The 10,073-nt window shown below is 37.4% G+C and overlaps 1 annotated feature.

Annotated features, from left to right (window-relative positions):
• Window positions 5,503-6,107: an enhancer, noted in NCBI's record as "NANOG-H3K27ac-H3K4me1 hESC enhancer chr3:110159215-110159819 (GRCh37/hg19 assembly coordinates)". NCBI's record gives its function as "activates a minimal SCP1, AML or CMV promoter by ChIP-STARR-seq in naive and primed H9 embryonic stem cells {active_cell/tissue: H9 hESC(naive and primed)}" and the evidence as "EXISTENCE:reporter gene assay evidence [ECO:0000049][PMID:30033119]".

Below are 10,073 nucleotides of genomic sequence, written 5' to 3'. Positions count from 1 at the left end.
AAGTTTAAAGATTTATCAATTGCTATTACATTTAAATTAGCACCTGCAGCTCACTGGTAAATTCTGATTAAGGATGTGTGCTGATTGAAGTCATTGCTATCACCACATTAGTATTATTAAAGTCAAAATGCAGTTATTGCTTAAGCACGGAACTGAACCTGAGGTACTATTTCCCTACCATTAAAACCAACATCAGCTATTAACTTTCAACCGGACAAGAACAACCATTACAATATATTGATGTTGGTTTTAATTTTATTAGCCTTGTAATCTTCTTTATAATTTGATGAGACCTATGTGTCCATGCATTAAATTAAGCACACATAGTTTTAAGATTGCGTCAACTGAACTGTATTCTTTATTTTTTTTTTATTATACTTTAAGTTTTAGGGTACATGTGCACATAGTGCAGGTTAGTTACATATGTATACATGTGCCATGCTGGTGCGCTGCACCCATTAACTCGTCATCTAGCATTAGGTATATCTCCCGATGCTATCCCTCCCCCCTCCCCCCACCCCACAACAGTCCCCAGAGCGTGATATTCCCCTTCCTGTGTCCATGTGATCTCATTGTTCAGTTCCCACCTATGAGTGAGAATATGCGGTGTTTGGTTTTTTGTTCTTGCGATAGTTTACTGAGAATGATTATTTCCAATTTCATCCATGTCCCTACAAAGGACATGAACTCATCATTTTTTATGGCTGCATAGTATTCCATGGTGTATATGTGCCACATTTTCTTAATCCACTCTATCATTGTTGGACATTTGGGTTGGTTCCAAGTCTTTGCTATTGTGAATAATGCCGCAATAAACATACGTGTGCATGTGTCTTTATAGCAGCATGATTTATAGTCCTTTGGGTATATACCCAGTAATGGGATGGCTGGGTCAAATGGTATTTCTAGTTCTAGATCCCTGAGGAATCGCCACACTGACTTCCACAATGGTTGAACTGGTTTACAGTCCCACCAACAGTGTAAAAGTGTTCCTATTTCTCCACATCCTCTCCAGCACCTGTTGTTTCCTGACTTTTTAATGATTGCCATTCTAACTGGTGTGAGATGGTATCTCATTGTGGTTTTGATTTGCATTTCTCTGATGGCCAGTGATGATGAGTATTTTTTCATGTGTTTTTTGGCTGCATAAATGTCTTCTTTTGAGAAGTGTCTGTTCATGTCCTTCACCCACTTTTTGATGGGGTTGTTTGTTTTTTTCTTGTAAATTTGTTTGAGTTCATTGTAGATTCTGGATATTAGCCCTTTGTCAGATGAGTAGGTTGCGAAAATTTTCTCCCATTTTGTAGGTTGCCTGTTCACTCATATGGTAGTTTCTTTTGCTGTGCAGAAGCTCTTTAGTTTAATTAGATCCCATTTGTCAATTTTGGCTTTTGTTGCCATTGCTTTCGGTGTTTTAGACATGAAGTCCTTGCCCATGCCTATGTCCTAAATGGTAATGCCTAGGTTTTCTTCTAGGGTTTTTATGGTTTTAGGTCTAATGTTTAAGTCTTTAATCCATCTTGAATTGATTTTTGTATAAAGTGTAAGGAGGGGATCCAGTTTCAGCTTTCTACATATGGCTAGCCAGTTTTCCCAGCACCATTTATTAAATAGGGAATCCTTTCCCCATTGCTTGTTTTTCTCAGGTTTGTCAAAGATCAGATAGTTGTAGATATGCGGCGTTATTTCTGAGGGCTCTGTTCTGTTCCATTGATGTATATCTCTGTTTTGGTACCAGTACCATGCTGTTTTGGTTACTGTAGCCTTGTAGTATAGTTTGAAGTCAGGTAGTGTGATGCCTCCAGCTTTGTTCTTTTGGCTTACGATTGACTTGGAGATGCGGGCTCTTTTTTGGTTCCATATGAACTTTAAAGTAGTTTTTTCCAATTCTGTGAAGAAAGTCATTGGTAGCTTGATGGGGATGGCATTGAATCTGTAAATTACCTTGGGCAGTATGGCCATTTTCACGATATTGATTCTTCCTACCCATGAGCATGGAATGTTCTTCCATTTGTTTGTATCCTCTTTTATTTCCTTGAGCAGTGGTCTGTAGTTCTCCTTGAAGAGGTCCTTCACATCCCTTGTAAGTTGGATTCCTAGGTATTTTATTCTCTTTGAAGCAGTTGTGAATGGGAGTTCACTCTTGATTTGGCTCTCTGTTTGTCTGTTATTGGTGTATAAGAATGCTTGTGATTTTTGTACATTGATTTTGTATCCTGAGACTTTGCTGAAGTTGCTTATCAGCTTAAGGAGCTTTTGGGCTGAGACAATGGGGTTTTCTAGATATACAATCATGTTGTCTGCAAACAGTGACAATTTGACTTCCTCTTTTCCTAATTGAATACCCTTTATTTCCTTCTCCTGCCTAATTGCCCTGGCCAGAACTTCCAACACTATGTTGAATAGGAGTGGTGAGAGAGGGCATCCCTGTCTTGTGCCAGTTTTCAAAGGGAATGCTTCCAGTTTTTGCCCATTCAGTATGATATTGGCTGTGGGTTTGTCATAGATAGCTCTTATTATTTTGAAATACGTCCCATCAATACCTAATTTATTGAGAGTTTTTAGCATGAATGGTTGTTGAATTTTGTCAAAGGCTTTTTCTGCATCTATTGAGATACTCATGTGGTTTTTGTCTTTGGTTCTGTTTATATGCTGGATTACATTTATTGATTTGTGTATATTGAACCAGCCTTGCATCCCAGGGATGAAGCCCACTTGATCATGGTGGATAAGCTTTTTGATGTGCTGCTGGATTCGGTTTGCCAGTATTTTATTGAGGATTTTTGCATCAATGTTCATCAAGGATATTGGTCTAAAATTCTATTTTTTTGTTGTGTCTCTGCCTGGCTTTGGTATCAGAATAATGCTGGCCTCATAAAATGAGTTAGGGAGGATTCCCTCTTTTTCTATTGATTGGAATAGTTTCAGAAGGAATGGTACCAGTTCCTCCTTGTACCTCTGGTAGAATTCGGCTGTGAATCCATCTGGTCCTGGACTCTTTTTGGTTGGTAAGCTATTGATTATTGCCACAATTTCAGCTCCTGTTATTGGTCTATTCAGAGATTGAACTTCTTCCTGGTTTAGTCTTGGGAGAGTGTATGTGTTCAGGAATTTATGCATTTCTTCTAGATTTTCTAGTTTATTTGCGTAGAGGTGTTTGTAGTATTCCCTGATGGTAGTTTGTATTTCTGTGGGATCGGTGGTGATATCCCCTTTATCATTTTTTATTGTGTCTATTTGATTCTTCTCTCTTTTTTTCTTTATTAGTCTTGCTAGCAGTCTATCAATTTTGTTGATCCTTTCAAAAAACCAGCTCCTGGATTCATTAATTTTTTGAAGGGTTTTTTGTGTCTCTATTTCCTTCAGTTCTGCTCTGATTTTAGTTATTTCTTGCCTTCTGCTAGCTTTTGAATGTGTTTGCTCTTGCTTTTCTAGTTCTTTTAATTGTGATGTTAGGGTGTCAATTTTGGATCTTTCCTGCTTTCTCCTGTGGGCATTTAGTGCTATAAATTTCCCTCTACACACTGCTTTGAATGTGTCCCAGAGATTCTGGTATGTTGTGTCTTTGTTCTCGTTGGTTTCAAAGAACATCTTTATTTCTGCCTTCATTTCGTTATGTACCCAGTAGTCATTCAGGAGCAGGTTGTTCAGTTTCCATGTAGTTGAGCGGTTTTGAGTGAGATTCTTAATCCTGAGTTCTAGTTTGATTGCACTGTGGTCTGTGAGATAGTTTGTTATAATTTCTGTTCTTTTACATTTGCTGAGGAGAGCTTTACTTCCCAGTATGTGGTCAATTTTGGAATAGGTGTGTTGTGGTGCTGAAAAAAATGTATATTCTGTTGATTTGGGGTGGAGAGTTCTGTAGATGTCTATTAGGTCCGCTTGGTGCAGAGCTGAGTTCAATTCCTGGGTATCCTTGTTGACTTTCTGTCTCGTTGATCTGTCTAATGTTGACAGTGTGGTGTTAAAGTCTCCCATTATTAATGTGTGGGAGTCTAAGTCTCTTTGTAGGTCACTCAGGACTTGCTTTATGAATCTGGGTGCTCCTGTCTTGGGTGCATATAGATTTAGGATAGTTAGCTCTTCTTGTTGAATTGATCCCTTTACCATTATGTAATGGCCTTCTTTGTCTCTTTTGATCTTTGTTGATTTAAAGACTGTTTTATCAGAGACTAGGATTGCAACCCCTGCCTTTTTTTGTTTTCCATTTGCTTGGTAGATCTTCCTCCATCCTTTTATTTTGAGCCTATGTGTGTCTCTGCATGTGAGATGGGTTTCCTGAATACAGCACACTGATGGGTCTTGACTCTTTATCCAATTTGCCAGTCTGTGTCTTTTAATTGGAGCATTTAGTGCATTTACATTTAAAGTTAATACTGTTATGTTTGAATTTGATCCTGTCATTATGATGTTAGCTGGTGATTTTGCTCGTTAGTTGATGCAGTTTCTTCCTAGTCTCGATGGTCTTTACATTTTGGCATAATTTTGCAGCGGCTGGTACTGTATGTTCCTTTCCATGTTTAGCGCTTCCTTCAGGAGCTCTTGTAAGGCAGGCCTGGTGGTGACAAAATCTCTCAGCATTTGCTTGTCTGTAAAGTATTTTATTTCTCCTTCACTTATGAAGCTTAGTTTGGCTGGATATGAAATTCTGGGTTGAAAATTCTTTTCTTTAAGAATGTTGAATATTGGCCCCCACTCTCTTCTGGCTTGTAGGGTTTCTGCCGAGAGATCCGCTGTTAGTCTGATGGGCTTCCCTTTGAGGGTAACTCGACCTTTCTCTCTGGCTGCCCTTAACATTTTTTCCTTCATTTCAACTTTGGTAAATCTGACAATTATGTGTCTTGGAGTTGCTCTTCTCGAGGAGTATCTTTGTGGCATTCTCTGTATTTCCTGAATCTGAACGTTGGCCTGCCTTGCTAGATTGGGGAAGTTCTCCTGGATAATATCCGGCAGAGTGTTTTCCAACTTGGTTCCATTCTCCCCATCACTTCCAGGTACACCAATCAGATGTAGATTTGGTCTTTTCACATAGTCCCATATTTCTTGGAGGCTTTGCTCATTTCTTTTTATTCTTTTTTCTCTAAACTTCCCTTCTCACTTCATTTCATTCATTTCATCTTCCATCGCTGATACCCTTTCTTCCAGTTGATCGCGTCGGCTCCTGAGGCTTCTGCATTCTTCATGTAGTTCTTGAGCCTTGGTTTTCAGCTCCATCAGCTCCTTTAAGCACTTCTCTGTATTGGTTATTCTAGTTATACATTCTTCTAAATTTTTTTCAAGTTTTCAACTTCTTTGCCTTTGGTTTGAATGTCCTCCCATAGCTCAGAGTAATTTGATCGTCTGAAGCCTTCTTCTCTCAGCTCGTCAAAGTCATTGTCCGTCCAGCTTTGTTCCGTTGCTGGTGAGGAACTGCGTTCCTTTGGAGGAGGAGAGGCACTCTGCTTTTTAGAGTTTCCAGTTTTTCTGTTCTGTTTTTTCCCCATCTTTGTGGTTTTATCTACTTTTGGTCTTTGATGATGGTGATGTACAGATGGGTTTTTGGTGTGGATGTCCTTTCTGTTTGTTAGTTTTCCTTCTAACAGAGAGGACCCTCAGCTGCAGGTCTGTTGGAGTACCTGGCTGTGTGAGGTGTCAGTGTGCCCCTGCTGGGGGGTGCCTCCGAGTTAGGCTGCTCGGGGGTCAGGGGTCAGGGACCCACTTGAGGAGGCAGTCTGCCCGTTCTCAGATCTCCAGCTGCGTGCTGGGAGAACCACTGCTCTCTTCAAAGCTGTCAGACAGGGACATTTAAGTCTGCAGAGGTTACTGCTGTCTTTTTGTTTGTCTGTGCCCTGCCCTCAGAGGTGGAGCCTACAGAGGCAGGCAGGCCTCCTTGAGCTGTGGTGGGCTCCACCCAGTTCGAGCTTCCAGGCTGCTTTGTTTACCTAATCAAGCCTGGGCAATAGCGGGCACCCCTCCCCCAGCCTCGCTGCCTCCTTGCAGTTTGATCTCAGACTGCTGTGCTAGCAATCAGCGAGACTCGGTGGGCGTAGGACCCTCCGAGCCAGGTGCGAGGTATAATCTCGTGGTGCGCCGTTTTTTAAGCCGGTAGGCAAAGTGCAGTATTCGGGTGGGAGTGACCCGATTTTCCAGGTGCGTCGGTCACCCCTTTCTTTGACTCAGAAAGGGAACTCCCTGACCCCTTGCGCTTCCCAAGTGAGGCAATGCCTCGCCCTGCTTCGGCTGGCGCACGGTGCGGGCACCCACTGACCTGCGCCCACTGTCTGGCACTCCCTAGTGAGATTAACCCCGTACCTCAGATGGAAATGCAGAAATCACCCGTCTTCTGCGTTGCTCACGCTGGGAGCTGTAGACCGGAGCTATTCCTATTCGGCCATCTTGGCTCCTCCCCGCCAACTGAACTGTATTCTAATGTGCACAGAGTTAAAGTCATAATACTATTTACACACAATGGACAAGTTTATGACTGTCACTGAATATAAAATATTTAATATCTACAATGTGTGGCACTGAACCAGGTGACTTAAATTCTGTGCCCAACACGTCAATAATTTTTTCTGCTTCTACTTTTCTTGATACTCCCTTAACATTGATACTCTTAGTTTTCCAGTTAGTCACTAGATCATGGTCTAGAATTCCATTCAAGAAGAAAGGAATGCTGGCTTTAGAAAAGATGGTTAATCATTTTTCACTTCAGAGAGTTTAACTGACTTTTTTCAGAGGCAGACTTCTTCAGCAAATGTATTTATCAATAATGCTGGACTATATTTACATACTACTTACAGTTTGCAAAGCACGTACACATGGTTTTGAATGTCTACACGCACTGACTCCATTCTAAGAAGGACTCCAGAATACCCCAACCTAGATTCACACTCCTCATAAGTACCCCATAGGACTAGTACCCCAACGTCTAGCTTGTAGCACCCGTATGCCTTTCAGTGACTTTTGATGAATGTTGTGTCCGAACCAAAAATCTGTAAGCCTCTTCAGTTTAGGTACCATGCCATATTAGTCTTTGAGTTCCCAGGGTTTAATGTAACACTCAGAGTTTTTTAAAAAAATGTTTAATAAATATTTAGGGAACAAATTAAATGGCCAAATCTACTAAACTCTGTGAGAATTTCATAATCTTAAATGTATTGGCAGGGTTCCAATTACACTAAACATTTTAAATAATCCCACTGGCTATATGGATTGATAAATTATCCTTTATAGTAGAACTACATGTACTAACAAATTTTATTACATTTTTATTTTCCCTGGAAATGACATTAACCCCAAATTGTTTGTATCAGAAAGATAGACAGATGAAAAATGATAGACATATGATTAGGTAGATGATAGATACCATGCAACGTTAATATTTTTGATTATTCAAGTCAATCCAATAAATATTTGCTGAACACTTACATTGTATACTATGCTCTGTATGAGAAGCTATCAGCATGACAAAAACGCATATAGTATGTCCTTACAGGCAGCTTAAAATTCAATGGAGAAATGTACAGTACAGTATGGCATAATGAAAAACAGAGTAAAGGTTAAGCAAAATGTAATAGGAAAAACTTGGAGACAGAGAATAACCTCAATTGAGTGGTAAATGGGAATGGTAGTAAGGAATGTTTTCACAGAGGGGTGCCTTAAAAAATGTTTTTGCATTAGTATAAAATAACTTTACATCAATTAATATAAGATATTTTACATTGCATAAAATGATTTTTTATAAACACAAAATTTTACCACAATAAAAATAATATTAACCTGAGCTATGACTTGATAGAAAACATTGTTTATGTTGTTCTTTTCAATTGTAATAGTCTTTAGTTTGCACAATGTTTGAATGTGTTTCTGCACTTTGGAATGCACATTTGGAATAGAGACACATTTAACGTTGGTTGTATAGGCGAGGTACATGCTGAAGCTTGTAGTTATTTTTCAAGTGAGAATAGACTGAAAAATTTCTCTCGAAGTCTCAGAAAAAAGATTTAGGTTTTGGATTTCAGAGTCATAGGCTACTGATCTAACTATAACATGTTCAAAAAACAGATTTTACCCTTGTTTTCATCCAAAAGTTAATCAGGACTACAAATTATAAACATTATCTTAAGCAAACAAAAGGTAATCCTTCTCAATGATTAAAATAGCTTTGTAAAAATATGTAAACACAGTATGTAATCATTATATAAGAGTCAGACAATATGGAAAGGAAATGAAAACTACACATAATTCCACTGCCGGGAGATAGTAATTGCTAACATTTCACTGAATAGACTTCAAGCCATTTCTTCTATAGAAGTATAAGTCACAGTGAGATTGACTCACACTGAGGCACATACACAGATACAAATAGAATACAATTATACACACTGCTCTGTTAAATGACTTTTTCACTTGGAACATATAATGGTCACCTTTTAGAGTCAAATTTCTCAACAGAGCATTTTTGTCTTAATATATTTTAATTTAGCAGTCATTTCCTTGATAATTTATAGCTTTTGAGAAACCTTAAAAAAAATTTCCTGCTACAATATTGCAGAAATAATCAATTAAATTATCCCTCAGTAGTTATGTACATATATTTTTCTATCTAATTAGTTAACTCCATCTGGAGATTTATAACAGTTCAACTTTTGTTAAATTTTTGCCCCAATATTTGTCACAAAATAATATACTGAGTAACCACTTTCTCAAAATACTAAATGGTAAAACATTAATTAACTAATAATTAATAATAAATCAATGACAGATATCAATAAATTAATGAATAATACATTTTAATAAATATTATATTATATTTTATATTATTATACATTCCCTATTTTATTTTCTTGGTATGTTTGTTTCTTTAACAGTATCATGACATTTTATGTACTGCAAATTTATAATGAATCTTGCAATGATTTGAATTTTTCAGCCTTTTATTAACTTTTATTAAAAGGTTATACTTTTAGGTAATCTTAGGATTATTTTGAGGAAAAGGATTTCAATAATAATTTGTAAATAACTGATAATTTTTAAATTCTATTGTTATTAAGTTGAATTTTTTTTCAGAATATATTTGCACCTATTGAAATGGCCTTCAACTTGTTAGTGTTAACACACTAATACTTGTTAATATGAAAAACTGTAAACAGATTTTTTGAATTTTGAACTATACATTCAAGAAAAAAGCTCTATTGAGTCATGGTATATTGTTATTTTTAATGTCACGATGTGTTCTGCTTACATTTTTCTTAGGATTTTTTCCTCTTACATTCATAAATGAGATTGTTTTGCATTTCTTTTCCTTTATTATGAGGTTGGTTAGTGCTGTCTTGGTAAAAAGAATTGGGAAGTTCTTTATATTTGACTTCATACTTTCAAACTCACCATTATTTTTTAATCTTTCTTCAGACTTCGCATAGGTTCAATCTCAACCTTAAGGTATTCTAACACAATAAAATGTAGCAGTGTACTGGATCGAGTTGATTGGCTTATCCAGTTCCAAACTTTATGTAGTGTAGCTTGTTTTGCTGCAGAGGCTAGAAAGCTAAAAATGAAATAGGCCAGATCCTCCTTGAAGATAGAAACAATAAAGCTTTCATTTCATCCTTTTAGAAAGAGGCTTTCAGAAAAAGGAAATTAATTTGTATTATTTTCATTGGAGTTTATATTTTTGTAAAAGTTACATTACATAAGCTGAAAAAAATAAATCTGGGGTTTAAGTAGTGTTTAATGTAATCACCATTGTGTTGTAGTGTTCTAAATGCTGCCTTTCTTTTTTTTTTTTTTTTTTGCAGAATATTTTCATTTATATGAGATCCAGACTGAATGAGAAAATGTGGTTCAAACTGTGAGAGAAGTTTTAAAATTTAAATAGTGTCACATGGCAATAATGAAAGTTAAAAGTGTACTTCTGTAGGGCTTTAAACATGACCAGCCTCAGGGGTTTATAGCTCTTTCCAAAACATCATTTCTGAAGCACAAAGATACAATGCAATTAAAAAGAAAAGTGCACATTTTGCAGGCAGACCTGGATATGAATCCCAGTTTTGCCACTTACGGACTTTGTAACCTTTAGCATATTGCTTAAT

The sequence above is a fragment of the Homo sapiens genome, chromosome 3 (assembly GCF_000001405.40).
Source record: "Homo sapiens chromosome 3, GRCh38.p14 Primary Assembly".
NCBI lineage: Eukaryota > Metazoa > Chordata > Mammalia > Primates > Hominidae > Homo > Homo sapiens.
The sequence above is the reverse complement of the archived record's forward strand: the minus strand, read 5'-3'. Positions and strand labels throughout refer to the sequence as shown.